Genomic DNA, 20795 nt, shown 5'->3' with positions numbered 1-20795 from the left:
TTCATACAATAGTGCATGTTTACGTTTGGAGATCATTTTCATATATAGGAAAAAATTTAGAGTTTTGTCAATATTCATTTCATTGGTTACATAGGTAATTAACCAACTAAGTCTTACATTATTCTTTAAAATTTGAACAATCAAAATAAAATTCAACTGATGCTAAATTTTATGCTTTTCTTTATAATCAAAATAGTTATTGGATGGAGATAATTGGTTTAATTGATACAGTGCTTGAACTTTCATTTTATGATTCTGAATAACATGCATCATCAAATAATATTTATTTTTTATACAACTTGAAACTCTATTTTCTCTTTGTTATTTAGAAATCTCTCCCTTTCTCTATGTGTCTGTCTGTCCTCTCCTTTCTCTTATTATGCTACAGTTGTGTTGCTAAGTATTCAAAACTCTTACCATGAAGGCAGTGATTTAAAAGGGAAAGAAAATAGAGAAGACAGTTTAAAACAGGGGTTTGTTTCAGTTTAAAACAGGGGTTTGTTTCAGTGTTTGTATCTAACAGGTTGCTATTCTTAGTGTGTTAGATGGGTCTGTTTCGGTGTTTGTATCTTACGGGTTGTTATTAGTGTGTGAGATGGGTCTGTTTGTTTCAGTGTTTGTATCTAGCAGGTTATTATTATTGTGTTAGATGGGTCGTTTGTTTCGGTGTTTGTATCTAACAGGTTGTTTTTATTATTGTGTTAGGATGGGTCTGTTTGTTTTGGTGTTTGTTTCTAACGGGTTTTTATTATTGTGTTAGGTGGGTCTGTTTGTTTTGGTGTTTGTTTCTAACAGGTTGTTATTATGGTGTTAGGATGGGTCTGTTTGTTTTGGTGTTTGTTTCTAATGGGTTGTTTTTATTATTGTGTTAGGATGGGTCTGTTTGTTTTGGTGTTTGTTTCTAACAGGTTGTTTTTATTATTGTGTTAGGATGGATCTGTTTGTTTTGGTGTTTGTTTCTAAGGGGTTGTTATTATTGTGTTAGGTGGGTCTGTTTGTTTTGGTGTTTGTATCTAACGGGTTATTATTATTGTGTTAGATGGGTCTGTTTGTTTCCGTGTTTGTATCTAAGGGGTTGTTATTATTGTGTTAGATGGGTCTGTTTGTTTCCGTGTTTGTATCTAAGGGTTGTTATTATTGTGTTAGATGGGTCTGTTTGTTTCCATGTTTGTATCTAATGGGTTGTTATTATTATTGTGTTAGATGGGTCTGTTTGTTTTGGTGTTTGTATCTAACAGGTTGTTTTTATTGTGTTAGATGGTATCTAACGGGTTGTTATTATTGTGTTAGATGGGTCTGTTTGTTTCGGTGTTTGTATCTAATGGGTTGTTACTATTAGTGTGTTAGATGGGTCTGTCTGTTTCGGTGGTTGTATCTAATGGGTTGTTACTATTAGTGTGTTAGATGGGTCTGTCTCTGTGTTTGTATCTAATGGGTTGTTACTATTAGTGTGTTAGATGGGTCTGTCTGTTTTGGTGTTTGTATCTAACGGGTTGTTACTATTAGTGTGTTAGATGGGTCTGTTTGTTTCACTGTTTGTATCTAACAGGTTGTTGTTATTATTGTGTTAGATGGGTCTGCTTGTTTTGGTGTTTGTATCTAATGGATTGTTTTTCTTATTGTGTTAGGTGGGTCTGTTTGTTTCAGTGTTTGTATCTAACCGGTTGTTTTTATTATTGTGTTACATGGGTCTGTTTGTTTCGCTGTTTGTATCTAATGGGTTGTTTTTATTATTGTGTTAGATGGGTCTGTTTCGGTGTTTGTATCTAACAGGTTGTTTTCATTATTGTGTTAGATGGGTGCTACTTCTTTTTCACTGCCTTAGTTCTTCAGTTTCCTCTTCTGTAACTTGAACATGGCATGAAAGGTAGAGGAAGTCATATATGCATATAGTGCCTGGCACATAGCACATACAGAATGTACATTAGTCTGTATTATTTTATTTCAAATGATATGAAGAGTAGTTTTTTGTGCAATGCACCACAGATTTTCTAATTAAAGAGAGCTACCTGTGTGTGTGTGTGTGTGTGTGTGCCCATGTGCACTTTGAAAACTTCTTTTCTTGAATTGTTACTACCATCCAAGGAGTTCAGAATTATTATATCCATTTTGCAGATGCCAAAAGTGAAGGTCAGAGAGGAAAACCAATTCAAGTAACTCAGCCAAGGCCCCAGAAGTAATAAGGAATAGTAAGGACTTGAACCCAGCTCTTTAGCCTAGAGCCTGGCTCTTAACAATCACACACACACAGCCTTCAATAATGTCGCTTCCAGAGCCTGGCAGAAATTAAAATGGCACACTTGAAGTTATTGAGCATATTCACATACTCTGGAAAATACTTTATAAACTGCCTGTAGGGGAGTTTTTCTGCAGGTAATTAGATCACTAATTATTTTCTAAAAAGTTTTGCTTATATGACATAAACCAAGAGAGTATGCATCAGAGAAGGTGGGGTACATGAATTAGATCATTCAGTTTTTCTTTCTCATCTTGATTTACTCATTTTTATGTAAATTTTAGTAGTAAAGAAGTACTCTTTGGATAATAGTTCTACAAATAAATATTCAACAATCACTAAGTACTAAATAAATAAGTAATTGATGAACAAGTTATTATTTTTCACTTGGTTTCCTCATTTACTTTGGTATTATTTTAGGGAGATTTAACTTAAAAATAGCCTTATCATATAAGTATAGAAACAATGCAAAATAATGTTGAAGGTAAAATTAAAACCAGCCTTAAGACTACTGCATATGGCTCATTAATTTAATAGCTTGAGGGATTTCTTCTAGATCTTTTTTCCCACATAGTTTTATAATCTTGATGTCATATTTTATGTAATTTTTCACATGAGTTTTCCATGAAGCTGTAACATGATGATCTTTTTATTTTATTAGATTCTCTTAATTTAAAGGATCCAACGCAATGACCAATCTCCAATTGTCAAATATTGAGTGTGAGTGTCCACTCTTTACTATTGTAAATAATTCTTCTATAAGCAATTTTAATGCTTAAAATTCCACTTAATTGTTTTATTTCTAATTCTTTCGTTCTTTTTTCTTTAATTATGTTTTGCAGAGACAGGATCTCCCTATGTTGCCCAGGCTGGTCTCTAACTCTTGGGCTCAAGCAGTCCTTCCACCTTACCTCCCAAGTAGCTGGGACTACAGGTGTGAGCCACCGCACTTGGCCTAATTGTTTCTTGAGAACCATAAAAGAAAAAGGTGTACAGCTTCGAATGACCTGAGTCATTTTGGATGAGCTTGATACACATTAACACATTGGTTTTTACATGGGTTGTAATCTTCCTCAGATAGTGCTTTTGTTTTAAGTCTTTCTTAACTTTCATAAGAATTCTGATGCTTCTTCATTGATTTGATTTGAGATTAGAACTTGGCATAGCTAACATCAGACACTATTTAGGTCATTTTGTTTTAAAGCAAAACATCAAAAACAGACTCAGATCTCATCCCTAACAGCCACACAAGCTAGACTAAAGAGCGCCTGGGAAACCTCTTCTCCATGACCCATTTGGTGATCACAGAATAGATCATGGTCAAACTGCATTCCTTCTGATCCACAGAAAACCCATCTTTACCCACACCAGTTCCTGAAGAACTCATATTCCTCCACTTGTTTTAATCCCAGCACTTTGGGAGGCTGAGGCAGGTGGATCACCTGAGGTCAGGGGTTCGAGACCAGCCTGACCAACATGGTGAAACCCCATATCTACTAAAAATACAAAAATTAGCCAGGCATAGTGGCACATGCCTGTAATCTCAGCTACTCAGGGGGCTGAGGCAGAAGAATCACTTGAACCTGGGAGGTGGAGGTTGCAGTGAGCCGACATCGTGTCATTGCATTCCAGCCTGGGCAACAATAGTGAAACTCCATCTCAAAATAAATAAATAAGTAAATAAATAAAGAATGAGCTTTTTGTTTTATTTTCTCTATTGCTTTCCTGTTATCAATTTTGCTGATTTTTATATTTATCTTCATTTTATCATTACTTGAACTCACTTTAAATTTAATTTGCTATTCCTTTTCTTTCTTTCTAAGGTAGATATTATTGATTTGACATATTTCCTGTTTTCAGTGTAAGAATTTTAATCCTATAAATGTTCCTCTTATCACTGCTTTAGCTGTGTACCACGTATGTTTATATGTAATTGATCTTTCTTCTTTTCTTTTACATTGTCATCTAACTCAAAATATTTTCTAATTTTACTTCTGATTGCTTATTTGACCCCTGGGTTACACAGAAGTGTGTTTTTTTAATTTCCAAGTGTTTGGGAATTTTAAAATGCTATAATTGATTTTAAGTTTAATTTCACTGTGGGCAGAGACTACACTTTGATTGCATTTTTTTAATGTGTTGAGATTTGCTTTATAGTCTAGAATATTGTATGTCTTAATAAATGTTTCACATGTACTTTAACAGAATCTGTCTTTTGCTAGTTTGAGTGGAGTGCTGTAAGTGTTCTATGAATATCAGCTAGGTCACATAGCGTTTTTTTATGTCTTCTAGATCCTTATTAATTTTCTGTCTGTGATCTATTGATTATTAAGGAGGGAATGCAGAATTCTATTATAATTTTAAAGTTTTCTATTTGTTTCAGTTCTGTACATTTTTCTTTTATTATTTTGAAGCTCTGATATTTAAGTCTCATATATTTGGATGCAAAATTAGTCTTTAGCAATATATTCCTTTTTAATTATGAAATGTCTTTATTTCTTGTTTTAAAATTTACTTTGAGATTAATGTAACCACTTCAGCTTTCTTTTGCTTAGTGTATGCATTATATATATATGCTATTTATTTTTGATACTATCTTTAAAAAATTCAAATTGCTTTTTTCATAACAATCTTTGCCTTTTTGTCTGTTCAAGTCATTTGCATTTAATGTACATATTAACATGACAATTTAAATATATGTTTGCTATTTAATTTTTCTTGTCCCCTTGCTCTTTTTTTCTTCTTTTCCTTCCCTTTTTGTACTAAATGAATAGTTTCACTTTATCTCCATGGTTGACTTATTTGTTTTATCTCCAATGGAGAACCATCCTTAATTCCACTTGTTTCTGGGCCTTTATACCTGAGTCTTTCTCCTCCTCTTTGTTATTCTTTCCATCCACTTGTATTCTCCTGGGATCTACCATTTGTAAGCTCTGGAGGAGATGTTTCATGCTCACCCACAAGAGAGGGATGTAGGCTTCCTCAGGCTTTCTCCCTGTCATAGGGACTCTCTTATCCACTGGCTGATAGCCTCTCTCAGGTTCCAGAGATAATCATTATACACATGGTTCAGTGGGACATGATCAGGAACTTTGAATGACTACACGCCTTGCCATGAGAGAAGTCATGCCTATGAGTTAAACTTCTGGTTTATCATTGGCATTAAATTACGAAAAAAAGCAGGACTAAATACTGGGCTCTTTCTGAAGCAAGAATCTTAAATTTCAGTTTGAATCATTTTTCTTTTGTCTAGAGTATGCCAGACAATTTTATGGTTTCTGGATCTATCTTCAAATTCATACAGTTTTAAAGATTTTTAGTGTGTGGTTATGATTGACTGGTTGGCTGCTTGTTTTTCACATGTGAGAAAGACTTAAAACTCAATCACCTTGTGCATCAATTTTAGCCACCAGAAACTTGCTTTGTTCCTTTTCCCAATATGGGCTGGGCTCCTGTTTGGCTGTGTGTCTAAATGCCATTGTGGCCATCCACAGATGTCCAGGCATTGTCCTGTATTTGAAATTTATGGCCATCAAGATCTCCTTTATAGCTAACATGGAGAGAGATGAGAAATGATAATGTGTCCGGAATTGGTGGGTTCTTGGTCTCACTGACTTCAAGAATGAAGCTGTGGACCCTTGCGGTGAGTGTTACAGTTCTTAAAGCGGCACGTCTGGAGTTGTTTGTTCCTCCCGGTGGGTTCGTGGTCTCGCTGGCTTCAGGAGTGAAGCTGCAGAAGTGAATGTTATAGCTCATAAAGGCAGTGTGGACCCAAAGAGTGAGCAGCAGCAAGATTTATTGCAAAGAGTGAAAGAACAAAGCTGCCACAGTGTGGAAGGGGACCCGAGCGGGTTGCCACTGCTGCCTTGGGCAGCCTGCTTTTATTCTCTTATCTGGCCCCACCCACATCCTGCTGATTGGTCCATTTTACAGAGAGCCGAGTGGTCTGTTTTGACAGGGTGCTGATTGGTGCGTTTACAATCCCTGAGCTAGACACAAAGGTTCTCCACTTCCCCACTAGATTAGCTAGATACAGAGTGTCGACACAAAGGTTCTCCAAGTCCCCACCAGAGTAGCTAGATACAGAGTGTTGATTGGTGCATTCACAAACCCTGAGCTAGACACAGGGTGCTGATTGGTGTGTTTACAAACCTTGAGCTAGATACAGAGTGCTGATTGGTGTATTTACAATCCCTTAGCTAGACATAAAGATTCTCCAACTCCCACCAGAGTAGCTAGATACAGAGTGTGGATTGGTGCATTCACAAACCCTGAGCTAGACACAGGGTGCTGATTGGTGTGTTCACAAACCTCGAGCTAGATACAGAGTGCCGATTGGTGTATTTACAATCTCCTAGCTAGACATAAAGGTTCTCCAAGTCCCCACCAGACTCAGGAGCCCAGCTGGATTCACCCAGTGGATCCCACACCGGGGCCGCAGGTGGAGCTGCCTGCCGGTCCCCTGCCGTGCGCCCGCACTCCTCACCCCTTGGGTGGTGGATGGGATTGGGCGCCGTGGAGCAGGGGGCAGCTCTCGGGGAGGCTCGGCCACATAGGAGCCCATGGAGGGGGAGGGAGGCTCAGGCATGGTGGGCTGCAGGTCCCGAGCCCTGACCTGCGGGGAGGCAGCTAAGGCCAGGCGAGAAATCGAATGCAGCGCCGGTGGGCCGGCCCTGCTGGGGGACCCAGCACACCCTCCGCAGCTGCTGGCCTGGGTGCTAAGCCCCTCATTGCCCCGGGCTGGCAGGGCTGGCCGGCCGCTCCCAGTGCGGCCCGCCAAGTCCACACCCACCCAGAACTCACGCTGGCCCGCAAGCACTGCATGCAGCCCCAGTTCCCGCCCGTGCCTCTCCCTCCACACCTCGCAAGCTGAGGGAGCTGGCTCCAGCCTTGGCCAGCCCAGAAAGGGGCTCCCACAGTGCAGCAGCGGGCTGAAGGGCTCCTCAAGTGTGGCCAGAGTGGGCACCAAGGCCGAAGAGGTGCCCAGGGCGAGCGAGGGCTGTGAGGGCTGCCAGCACGCTGTCACCTCTCAGTAATTCATTTTTCAGTGTATTCTGTTTAAGGTTGAATTATGAGTCCTTCAATTTGTAGGTATGTGTAAAATTTTAGTTTTCCTTAACCATGCTTTGGGCCACAACAATATATCAGAAACTCTTGATTCTGGGTCTTGGCTCTGGAATGATAAAGTATAAAACATTCAAATGTTATCTATGTTTTATAGGAAATAATTCTTATCTTTTCAACCTCAAAGAAAGGGGAAAAAAGAGAACACAATATAAATGTATTTCAAACTTCAAATTGTTTCTAATGACCACAGTGGATATGACAGTATTCTCAAAAACATGCTTTGCCTAATGTTTTGTAACATAATAAATATTGCATGTAAGCTCTCCCTTTCTTGGAGGCTAGCAAAAGTGAGTTTTAATATTTAATAAGGTGTAAAAATTATTCCTTACATGAAATGACGTAGTTTTATCTAAATGCTTTAGATTCAGAAACTGAAAAAGAATAATAATGGATACAAGAAACAAAATCCAAATAAAATATATGTTCACAAAATACAACTGAAACTGTGGGAGAAAAGTTAGTTAACAAGATGTTGGTAATATCACAAAGGAAGGCTTTTGCTACTATTGTTAGGAGAAATATAGATTATTCAGTAGATGCCGTATGAACAACTGGATAACATCTGAAAAGTAGAGTGGGATCCTACCCTATATCCCTGTATCCTTCACCAAAATAAAGTGCAAATGCACAAAATGTTAGTAGAAAAAGTAATGTGAAACAATAAAAATGCTATAAGAAAACATGATGGATTTTTAAATATCATCACATAATAAAAATTTCTAAACATGAAACAAAATTCAGAAGCCATGAAAGATGAGAACTGATAGGTTTTACTCTATGAAATAAACAATTCATGGCTACAAATCATAAACAAATTCAAAAGCCAAATGACAAATTGGGAGAAATAATCATAACTCATATCAAAGGACTAACATATAAGAAACTTCTATAAATCAGTAAGATAAAGATTAATACAATAAAAATATCAAAGAAAACAGATTTTAGAAAAGAAAATATAAATATCTTTTCATATGTGAAACAATCAAATTATTCATTAAAATAAATGCAAAGTAAAATTAAAGTAAAATGCTTCTCACATGGTCAGATCAGCAAAGATTTACAAGATTGATGCCATTTTCTAAAGTACCACTTAATACCATTTATGAAAGATGATTTGTCAATATCTCTCTATGTTCAAAGTGCATATGCCCTTTGACCCAGCAACTCCTCTTCTAGGGATCTTTCTTAGAACCACCTCCTGCTTAGAACTGGAGGCCATGATGCCTCTCTTGAGGGAAAGGCTGTGGGTGGGTCCAGCCCATGGGTGGCAAAATGTGGAGTCTTCACTGCTTCCCCTTTAGTGCCATTTGCTTTTTTAATTTTTTTCTTTAATGTTTTCAAAGGAAAATATTAATACAAAAAAGAAAAGAAGCAAATGTTCTGCCTGACCTTGTCAACCACACCTAGGCATTAACTCTTAAAATTCTTGCAGTTTGCAGAGGAAAAGGGAGTAAGAATGAACAAGACATGCATGCGTGCATCGCGGCCAGCCTTGGGTCAGAACTTGGACAGATTCAGTAGTTGAACCATTGGCTAAATGGCCCTTATTCATTTTTCGGGGCAAAACCCACTAGGAATGAGTGTATAGAGACCTGTAGAAGCAAAATGATTTCTTCAGCTTGGTGAGGGCCTCAATGCCCCAATCCCACCTCACACCCTGTCTGCTCGATCTCACTGTCTTCTTCACTTGTAACTCTGTGTCTTAGTGCTGAAGTTTATTAAAGTAGAGCTTACAGCTCTTTTCATAGCACCTGATCGCACACTCCTGGGACTGACTTATTCTCACCTCTACCACACAGTGGCCAGATCCTGAGGGCAGGGTCCTCTGATGAAAGCTGTTGTACTAACTCTACAGCTAACAGCAGTCAGGGTGAAAGGACAGAGTTTCCCTAGGACTAAACAAAAAATGTGGCTTCCTTTCTTGGTTGGTTTCCCTAAATGGCCTTAGATAGAATTGTCCCTATATTCCACCCTCACTTCTCAGACAGATGTGCAGGAATGTTTGTTTGTTTGTTTGATACCATGAATAAATGTAGACACCACTCTAAGAATCCATAAAGAGGCCATGCTGGGATAATTGGATGAAAAACAGAAACATTTAGTTTTTGGTGGAAAATCTGGATTTTTTTCTAAGCATCTGTATTGTTATTGGAAATCTTTGTTATATACCCCTCGTTCACCAATGCCTTCCATCTGGCATTCTAGGCCTTCAGAGGCTTGGGCCAGGGCTGCTTCCTGCCTCTGCACTGGGAGAGATGAGTTTTTCTCGTACTGTGCTCCCAGTGGGTAACCGCAGCTTTATTATCCCATTATGACAACTGAGATCTCTCAGCTAGCACCGATTCTCATGAGATTCAAGTAAAGCAGAAGGGACCAAAAGAGTCAGAAGTATTTTGATTGCAAATGAGAAAATCAACTCAAACTGGTTAAAGCATAAAAGGAAACCTATTGGCTTACACGGATAAAATGTCCGGGGATACAGTCACCTGAAGACGCAAGGAAAGTCACTGCCAAAATTCCTGCTCCTTTCTCTAAGGTCTGTTTTCCTTGAGGTGGCTTACATACAAGCAGGACTTCCTATTTGCAGGGAAAAGTGAATCCCAATTGCTCCAGCCTTACCTTTTATCACCTTGGCAGCCTCCAGTGGAAGAATGTACCTCTTTCTCCAGTGCAATTCCTAGGTTCCAGGTCCACTGATGCAGGACCTGCACGTGCCCCCACCCTTGACAGAGTTGCTGTGCCTGGGTGAATGGGGAGACCTCACTGGTGAGACTAAGCCTCGAATCCAGGTCCTGACATGTAGGCTGGGCTGACCATTCCAAGCCACAGGACTGAGAGGGGCCAGGTTGATACAACACCTTTTTCAATTTTGTTCTTCATTTCACCTTCATCAAATCCATTTCTTTGTCCAACCAGGAAAGATTCTCTTTGTTCAGATTCTGGGCACATAGTGCTTTCTGTTTTTAGCCTGATAAAAGACTTATGAAAACTGGAAAGTATTTATTTCACCAATGCTTGGCACATAGTGGGTTACATAAATTCGCAATATTAAACTACTTTTTGTTTTATCCCATGCCATGCTAAAAATTGAGCCTTAATTGGCACAACCATTAAAAGAGACTAGGATAACCAGAATACCATCAACATTTTAACACATAATTTTTTTTACTAAATTATTAAATATATGTATTTGCTTTTTGCACTTCTCATTTTCTTCAGAAAATAATTAATGCAAAATATCCTAAATTATAGAAAATTATTCAGGATTGATGTACCAACTTAGGTGTGCAAGTGGATGATATCGTTTAAAGTAATGTAAGTGCTATACTTTAACGTGCACAAATCCTTGCATTATCTGTATTTAAACAAGATGGAATAACAACGGATGAAAACATGCCAGGTGACTGCTTTATTCAATTAAACCATGCCTATAAATCAGCCACCGACCACTACCTTTTCTATTCTTGCATAGTCATTATACAATGAGAGACAATTGCATTTCCCCAATACAAAGTGGTCAGTAATGTTATGTGGGGAAAAAGAAAAAAAACCTGATAAGTCAAGGCATTAAATTTAAGGGGGCGGGGAGATCTACACAAACCACTTAAGTACACTCATTATTATGGCTATTGCTACCTCAGGCCACTGGAGACTTTATAATTTAGTCAGCATTATGCAGTTTGAAGTGTTTCATGTTCTGCATGGGAGCAGGCTGCAATTCAAATATCAGTGGCCATGAAAAATATGCACATACGTTTAGTAGGAAAATCTCCAAGGGGACAACAGAGGAGATGGGCATATGTCGTTGCTGTGTGATGGAGAGTTTCTGTGAATTAATCATCTGGACATAGTTTAGCACCATTTTTCATTTTGCCAGAAACATCCCCCCTTCATTTGTTGGGGAAGCTTATTATACATGCACATCCTGGAAAGATAATAAGGCCATGGCCTCTGATGCTTAAATGCAACAGGGCTGGTTGGGTTGTGTTCAGACACAGACAGCGTTCCCATTGATGCTGCCATTCTGATAGCAAGAGTAATTGCTTATTTTATCTAGTTTAGGGAATTGTGACTCTTTCTACCCACTACTTTATTACATCAATTACTGCAAACCATTGTCTTGTATAATTTATGGGGATGAATTCAATTTCATTGAGATAATCTTCTAAATGGGAGACATCCTTTGTTCATTTGCTTCCAAATATTAAAATGTTTATTGCATTTTCTAGGAACGCTTCATTTTCTGTGTGGATTTAAACATCTTGCTAGACATGTAACCTGTGTGATTTGTTTGTATAATTCAAGGGTTGGAGTGGGGGTGTTTTGCCTCCCAGATAAGGTATTGCAGAGTGAAATACCTAATCTTTAAAGTGCAGTTAACATAAATGGCAATTTTTAGAAATGGATTTCTAATGCCTTTAAAGCAGAGGGTGAATGTGCCTGTCAGAATTCTGGCCCGCAGTTATGCCATTTGGTTGTTGTTTTGCTTTAGAAGTACTGAAATGTACTGCTATGGTTAGCAGTATAAGTAGAAACCAGAGCAATTGCTTTTGACACTTAAAAAGGATTGTATTGACAGTTGGAAACACGTTGGGGATTTGAGAAGAGTACTTTTCCATCTGTAATACTTGGTGTGATCAAAGATCACACAGCAGCCTCAGATTAGTGGAAATGAGGCTGCAGCGAAGGTTTGCCACTCCACATGGAAGGAGGGCTTGGTTTTTGATTCACACTAATCCCCATCACGATCTAAGTGGAATTTACGGTAATGGGGATATACTTCTCAGGGCTCCAGCCAACGTATATTTAAAGAGTCCTAAAGTAGATAATAATATAGCAAGATTTAAAATTTCCTTTTAAAGTTAAATCTTACTTTCCTACTTTCCATTTATATATTGGTTTAATGTTTCTATCATATTTAAGTCTCTGCATTTCCTATATGCATTTACAAATATGTGCATTATAGGTGGTGCTATTTTAGATAACAGGGGTCACTACTTTAATTCTCACTGAATCATAGCTAACAAGGTGATGTAGGAAATCATCAGGCTACAGGTACAACTGAACAATTAGAGATTTGGGTCTCAGAAGACCTGGTATAATTTATTATTCCTTCTCTCTCTCTCCCTTCTCCTTCCTCTCCATTTCTCCCTCCCTCCCTCCCTCTCTCCCTTCCTTTCTCCCTGTCTCTCTTCCTTTCTTCCTCCCTCCCTTTTGACTACAGATTTTATACATGTACATGTACACAGTTTTAAAATAAAATGCCAACTATGTGTAATCTACCTGCTCTATGACCTTGGGATATCTGAAGCTTTATTTCTATCTCTCTTAAAGGAGGAAAATAATCATATTTCATCACAGTATTTAAGTAAGGATCAAAGACTCTAAGATAACTGAAAGCACTAAATTAATTTTCTTCACCAAGATCACAGGAAAAACAGAAACTACAAGGAGAAATGGAAAAAGCTGGACCTTCCCTATGGACATGGGGAAAAGTGGCTATCTGGAAGTCAAGGGAAAAGAGAGATTTTTCTTTATAAAATAAAAGAAATGCCTGAACCACCAAACTGGACCACAAGCTTGATCCAAGGATGGTGCCTGACCCTGCACAAGGAACTCTCAGGAAAGGAACACTTCAATGAGGGTGATAAGGAAACTGTGTAGTTTTAAGGGAGGCCTGAGCCCTGACTCATCAGTTTGCTTCTAAGTGTTCTCTCAGCCCATCACCAACTCAGCTTCTGACCTAATCAACCCCCCACCCCGTGAGCCCAGCTCCTACTTTCAACCCCAACCCCAGACTGAAACCTTAGCACCTACTTTAGCTAACACCTCTAGCTCCAAACACCCTACATCCTATTCCAGTCTAACCTCATCATCAAACATTACCTGTATTCAAACTCCATATCTTTTTTTCAAAGAAGTGCATTCAAAACCATATATACACATACATCTTTGCTTTTACTGTAAACAAGGCAATCGTAAAGCCATATGCTTTTACATTATAAAGTAACCTTTCGCAGGTTTCTGATTTTCTAAAAAACAAGTTTTGTTGAAGTTTCTGAAGTATTTTTTAATACAAAACAAACACAAACAAATAGAACTAAATGTTTTAATAAAAATATGAAGGTATTATGTTTTGTAAAGGCTGAAAATTCCACACTAATATCCTTTTTTTCTAAAACCCCTTTTCCAAAACATCCTTTTTTAAAAAGGAGAGTGGTACCTGACCCAGTAAATCTTAATCTCTCTCCACCAAGGGATTCATCATGAGTGGCAGGGCCTCTGTAGGGGCAGGTGGCTTCAGAGGGCAGGACAGTATTCCCAGGCAAGATTTTCCAAGGGAAGCCCTGATCCTACATGCCATGCTTCAGAAATGTGGTCTCCTCCTGGGCATCTTTCAAATGGAATTTAACAGTGGAGCTGGAGATTTTGGAGGTAGCGGCAAAGCCCTACTTTCCCTCTGGCCATTGTTCTCCAACTTGTTGGCAAGAAATGCCCAGAAAAATCCTTCCGTTGATGTTTGGAATTGTGATTACAAAGCATCATGTCAAGAACATCTCCAAACATGGACATGTACACACACACAGACACAGACACACATAAATGCACACACAAGTCTACATACATGCATATACATTAACATACATACACACGTACACACACGTACACTTCAAGCTTCACATCAGTGTGTTTCTGTCTCTAGAAATTGTCATGAAGCTGTTTGTAAGGAGAATAGAAAAGAGATCCATGCTTGCCCAAAGCCCCTTTCTTCTGGATAATATACCATATTTGAGAAATTCCTATTCCATCAAGGGAATGAAATTATTTTTAAGGTGTTAAAGATAGTATTAAAAATAATATCTTCCAACCATGGTAAAATTTTGGAAGTAAGTGTTTGTGTTTTTTTCCATTATTTAAAAATTCTAGTTAGCTATTTTTTGTTTTTGTATTTTAGTCTTGTGATGGTCTTGTCAGAGAAATTTAAAATTACTGTCATAAGAATAAAAAAAGAAAGAAGGAAGGAAGGAAAGAGGGGAGGGAGGGAGAGAGGAAGCAGCAGAGGGCTAGTGTTGCTTGGGGGTTCAAAAGTGAGATTTGAAGCCAGAGGACTGAATTCAAATTCTAACTCTGATGCTATTTGTGTTGTTGTGGGCAAATACATTTACCCTCTCCTGCTGTAATTTTCTCAAATGTAAAATAATGATGCTAATTTGTAAAACAAATAAACAAGAAAATAAGCAATAACTTTAAAGGATATTTGCTGCCAACTTTCCCCATCCCATTTAATTTTCAGTATCCACAACTGTTGGCCATTTAATTTCAAATCCCTACACAGCTGTTGGTAAAATGAGATTTCCACCATCTCTCAAAACGTGCAACCACATCCCCTCTTCAGTGAATTGCAATGCACAGACTGAACTACTGCTAACCTCAGCAAACACAATCCCTCTGTATTTGTTGTTATGCCAAATCACCATAAATATGCAGCAGTCTTCAGGAGTAGCAATGCCCAATACCTTTGGGTGAGCCGATTTTTTTCAACAAAATGGTTTTCAGATGTTTTCTAGTAGAGAATGGTAGCTTGTTGCAAATAGTTTCAGAAATCACAGAACTGAGAGCAGTCATATCCCATAACCCTTACACCATGGGGACCTGGGGGCAAACCTTCCCTTCAAAAGTTCAAGTACATGAAAGTAGCAGAGATCTTAAGCTATAGGAGTCATGCATGGGATGTATGCTTTATGTGCATAATGATGGTTTCAGATGGCATTTTAATTTTTGCACATGCAGCAGTCAAAGTTGTTTGGCAATCCAAATGTGATATAAAACAATGGAGGAGGAGGAGGACTCATGTGATGCATCAGAATAATTCTCTGCCAGGTTACAGCAGCCCATGTGTGAAGTCAAGATGGGCTGCCTTAATTGCGTGCTGAACACCGCTCAGCACTGGCTGATCAAACTTATTTTAATAACATTAAATATGCATGGAATCTGTGACCACCAGAGAAAGTTAATTAGGTGACTTGTGGGAGTGCTAAAAAAGTACAACTGCACGACAGAGGTAAGGAAATGCCACCATTAAGAATTTGGTAACTGCAGCCCACACCTTATTGTCTGCTGCAGAAAGACTTTGCTAAGGATAAGGAGCCCTCATTGATGTGAGTATACAGAATTAGCTCATTATTTAAAGATTACAAGGTGCTTTGGTACAATTAAAATTTATTCATTCAGTCCATTTATTCTCAAAAGAGAAGACTGAATTGTTCCCAGGAAATATTTTTCTAATGGAAGACATTGCAGCAGTTTGAGAGTGAAAACTCTATTCAAGTCAGAACCATTAAAAATTAAATTTAAAGTACAGACATCTTGTAGCATTGTCAAGAAAGGGGATGTGAGTGCTAAGAACATCTCAGAGTCACTAATTCTGGCATCTCCTTCAAGTTCTTTCCTCCCATGTTTCCAGTCTAACACAGGGTCTCCTTGCTCAACAAGTCAGATGCTGAGAGACTGCCAGCACAGCCTCCAACATATCTTGTGATTCACAAGACCTTCTGAGGACATGGAGAAGAAGTAAATGCAGCTCCCAGTTGTGGCTGTCAGAACCATGGGATCTCAAGGCACTGAGTATGCTTTCCTTCAGAAGCCGAGGAACTACTCAGTGTGTCTCAGGACTCTTTGATATGACAATTAACTCACATAGGATAAGATCTCTTGGCTGGCCTTAGAGTCCTAACAACAGGCCCACAATTGTGTTGTATAATGTTTATAGTGATAGAGGGCCCAGCAATTTGCACCAGCTGCAGTTAGGGACTGGTGATTTTATAATACCCTGAGCATATTCCAAGATCACAACTTGGGACTGTACAGTTGGCACCACTTACTAGTGAAGGCAGGCCAGATTCACAGTGATAACATTGGTATAAGATGCTGGGTAGACCCTTGGTGCACTCTAATTCCTCGATGGCCATTCAGCCTTGCTGCAGTTCTTAGATGTCTCTAAGAGCACACAGTCAATTGCTGGACTAAGGCAAATGTTCAGCAGGTCATGGGGCTCAGGTTTTCTTTACAGAAGAAAATTCAATTGGGCAATATTGAGGTTTTTGAGTTTGATTTGGAAGAGAACTATTGGTTGCTAAGTTGTGGAGAAAATGGGGATGCTTCACTTCTTGGGGTGGCAGTGCTCCATAATCTTACCACGCTGTGACTGACATCATGATATGATTGGCATTACCATAGTACGATTGGCATTATGACAACACTGAAAACATAACAGCATTTCTCAGGGCTAATGGCTTTGGGCATGAAGAAAAATTCTGAATTGTATTTTGCTTTCTCTCATAAGATTGAAAAAATTCAGAATGGCACAAGCACCCACTGCTTTTCTTCTGCAATCGTTTTTGGTACAGACAAGAGACCAGGGCTCTAGATCAAGGTAGCCCTTGGATGGAGGAGATGTCGGAGCAAAGACCATGTGATAACTATAATAAGGATTCTCGTTTCATAGATCCTCATGTGGTGAAATGCATTCTAGTACTCACTGGGTATGTTTTGTCATCTTATATATACATTAATTTTCTGGGCTCATCAAGAAAATATAATCACACAGAAATAAAGATATGCAACAAGTTAGTCCATTGCCCTAAAACTATATGCTCTCAATGTGAATAACAATTCAAAGGGAATTATAGGTTTATAGTTTGTATAATATTTTAATAAATTATCCTGAATTTATAACTTCAAATTTTGAAATTTAGTTCTTGAATTGGTTTGTAAAATTTATATTTTGTGGGGAGGACCTAACAAACACTATCTTTGCTGTGTTTCAGAGCTTAGAAGCAAGGTTGGTATTATGGATTTTGCAGATGCCCCTATTTGCAAACAAGAGTATGTTCCATTCCACCATCTATCAGGGGATGGTTATGGTGTATTTTGACAAATTTGATATGTTTTATGGTGGAAAATGTGAATGTAAACTCACCCAGAGGACTGTGGCTTAATGGTTTCTGAGCCAGGATGGGATGGAGACAGGGGGCAGCTAATATTCTGCCGAGCCCAACCAGTAGGCAGTGCCACCAGCAACAGTGTTAAAAGATGAGGCTTAGTGGGACCTGGTGCCTGGTGGGATTGACTGTATCTCTGGCGAAAGGTCCTCCATACTTATGAAGTTAAATGTTTTAAACAAAGGTCTTTGGAGGACTTTGGAGATGAAATTCACTCCCACTTTTATCATGAGTGAGAGGGAGAGGCGTCCTGGTTTCGTAAAAAGCTCAGCATTATTCAGCACAAGTTTGGCTGAAGGTGAGAGAAGATTTTCCAAAACTTGCAGAAACCTAGAGCCCACTTATTCTTCCACACTGCTGGAAGCCCGGTGGGGGTATCAAGCTTCCAGGCAAGTGCTGTGGCTGCATTTGTCTGCACTTTCCTTTCCTGTGCTCTCCCCACAGAGCAGGCTTTGGCCCTGGGCTGATTGCCGTGTGGATGCAGGATGTCTGCCAGTGTGTGTAGACTCATCTCTGCACAGCTTGTGATCCAGAGGAAGGGAAAAGAGGTCTCCACTCCAGTCACCTCTTCTGAGATTCCCCAGTTGGGAGCTCCAGGCTCAGGCCTATCCTTGACGCTGTGACTGTGGCCAAGAACATGGAATATGGTGACTGGCGTAAACTAGCCGTCTAGCTCTGTGGGTCTTTTATAGGAAGGATAAAGAAATTTAGATGGGAATGCAAAATATCTTCCACTGACCCTGAGAAGGGGACCAACGGACTGAATTGTTGAAAGCAATGAAGAGCAATTACAACAGTAGTAATAACATTAAAAATAAGAAAAACACTTTGGGAAGTCTCAAAAATGGGCAATTTCCAACCTTGCAATGGAGAGTCAATTTAGTTGGTTCAGACTATGGAACAATTTTTGTCATAGGACATTGTAGAAATCAACTGGCAAACACTCAGCAATTAGTGGAGGCGGATAGATTAGTGTGATGCCAACAGAAGCAGACAATCCACAAGCTTACTGATGAGATCGTGGAAACAGCCAGGCAAGAGAGTTCCGCTAAAACCACCAGTGTTTTCAGGGAAAAGGAAAACTCCACATATGACCACGGATTGCAGGCTCTGAGGAGAAACACCATGCGCGGCACACTATGGGGAAAACAGAATTTCTTGAATGGTCCAGCTAGCCACCAGACAAATGAACAAGAAGAAAGAAAACAACAACAATAGCAAGCCCCAGGGAGTTATCATTACCCAAAGTTACTACAATAGATTATACAAGGTATCCAATTTTCAACAACAAATCCTAAGATATGCAAAGAAACAGTAATAGGTGACCTTCCTAATGCACAGTAGAAAAGTGAGACAGCAGAAACATTTGAGAGGGCCCAAACATTGGACTTAGCAGACAAAGACTTCGATGAACCTTTCTAAATATATTCCATGAACTAAAGGAAGTCATATTTAAAGAATTAAAGAAAGATAGGTTGACAATGTCTTATTAAATAAAGAATATCAGTGAAGAGATAGAAATTATTAAAAAGAACAGAATGGAAATTCTAATTTTGCATTATAAGTGAAGTAAGAATCAACTAGATAGGTGCAACAGTAGATCTGAGTTGACAGAGAAGAATCCGCAAGCTGGAAGATACATTGATGATGATGCAATGTGAAGAACGGAGAGGTGAAAGAATGAAGGTAAATGAGCACAGACTCAGAGAAATGTGGGACATTAAGTACACCACAGATACATAATGGGAGAGTACCAGAAGGAGAGGAGATGGAGAAAAGAACAGAAAAAGAATTTCCACGTAATTGTCTGAAAAATCCCCAAAATTTGGCCAAAACAGAAATACAAAGAAACCCAAACACCTGCACATCAAAAAAGTTCAGCAACCTCTAAGTAGAATAAACATAAAGAAATCCACAATTAGACCCATAAGCGTCAAAACATTTAAAGGAAAAGGCAAAGAGAAAATCTTCAAAGGTGAAAAAGAAAACTAACTCATCACAATTAAGAGAACCCCAAAGAATTAGCAGCTAGTTTGTCATCAGAAATGGTGAAAACAGGGATCGGTAGAATAATATAAAAAGAAAAATCTGTCAGTCAAGAATTTTGTATCCAGAAAAAACTGTCTTTCAAAAAAATAAACACAAAAGCAAATCCAGATATACAAAACAAATATGATTTTTTGCTGCTAAAAAAAAGTCTGCTACATTAGTTTCTACAAGCTGCCGTAACAAATGATGAAAAACTAGTTGGCGTAAAACAACAGGAATTTGTTATCTCACCGTTCAGGAGGACAGAAACCTAAAATTAAGGTGTCAGTGCGGCTGTGCTCCCAATGAAGGGTCTAGGGAAGAATCCTTCCTTGTCTCTCTCCGCTTCTGGTGGCCCCAGGTGTTCCTTAATATATGGTGGAACAACTACATTCTCTGCCTCCATCGTTGCATGGCTTTTTTTTTTTTTTCTTTTTGGTCTTTTTCGTGTCTCCAAATCTCCCTCTCTTTATAAGGATCCTAGCCCCTTCATAAAGCCTCAATACATTGATAAGGCACTGAAATCATACAAATAATGTTCTCTGACTATAAGAAAATTAAAAATAAGTTACAGAAACAAATTTGAGAAATTCACAAATGTGTGGTAATAAAAATGAGTGAGATAAATCACAAGAAAATTAGAAAATGCTGTGAATAAAACTGAAAACACAACATTCAAACTGTGTGAGCTGCAGATCAAAAAAATTGCTTAGGTAGAAACCTATAGCTATCATCACCCATATTAAAAAAGGAAGCTGATGTCACCTTAGTAGCCTAAGCATCCACCTGAGACAAAAGAAGCGAGAAAACTAAATCTCAAGCAAGAAGAAGGGAGGGGAAAGTGAAGACTGGAGTGGGAGCAAATGACATAGAGCTAGAAAAACAATAGAGCAAATGGATAAAACTTAGAACAGGCTTTTTGAAAAGTTTAATAAAATTGACAAAGCTTCAAAAGACTAACCAAGAAAACAAGAGGGGAGACCTCAAATTACTAAAAAATGTGAATGAAAACAGGAACAACACTACTATGTTTGCAGAAATAAAAACGTCTTAGGAGAGAATGCTATGAACAACTGAATGATAATGAATTAGATGAATTAAATGAAATGGACAAGTTCCTAGGAAGAAGCTAACTACTGAAACTGAATCAAGAAGAAATAGAAAATTTGATATATAAGAAGAATGTGAACTTGTACTTTAAAAATTCCTGCAGAGAAAGGCCCCAGCTCAAATGACTTCATTGAAGAAATTTACACAAGGTTAAAAGAATTGCCACACACACACACATGCACACACACACACACACAAAAAGATATGTGAGGTGATGCAAATGTTAAATAGCTTGATTTAGCCATTCCGCAATGTATACATACGTGAAAACATCATGTTGCATACTATACTTG

The 20795-nt window shown here is 38.6% G+C and overlaps 1 long non-coding RNA gene across 27 annotated transcripts in view; it reads left to right on the top strand.

Moving 5' to 3' along the window:
* LOC107986400 (uncharacterized) overlaps positions 1-20795 on the top strand; it is a 137038-nt gene that overhangs the window by 22625 nt on the left and 93618 nt on the right. For 7 of the 27 annotated variants that reach the window (XR_007059117.1, XR_001742567.2, XR_001742575.2 and 4 more), the window contains one exon: positions 2898-2956. The exons of 17 other annotated variants lie outside the window; for them this stretch is intronic. This is a non-coding gene — a long non-coding RNA (uncharacterized LOC107986400). Of the gene's footprint in view, positions 1-2897; positions 2957-12697; positions 13432-20795 lie in introns of those variants that run through there. 3 more of the 27 variants (XR_001742568.1, XR_001742577.1, XR_001742571.1) reach the window with 3 other exon arrangements.

Source organism: Homo sapiens, chromosome 5, assembly GCF_000001405.40.
Source record: "Homo sapiens chromosome 5, GRCh38.p14 Primary Assembly".
NCBI classification, from domain to species: domain Eukaryota; kingdom Metazoa; phylum Chordata; class Mammalia; order Primates; family Hominidae; genus Homo; species Homo sapiens.
The sequence above is the reverse complement of the archived record's forward strand: the minus strand, read 5'-3'. Positions and strand labels throughout refer to the sequence as shown.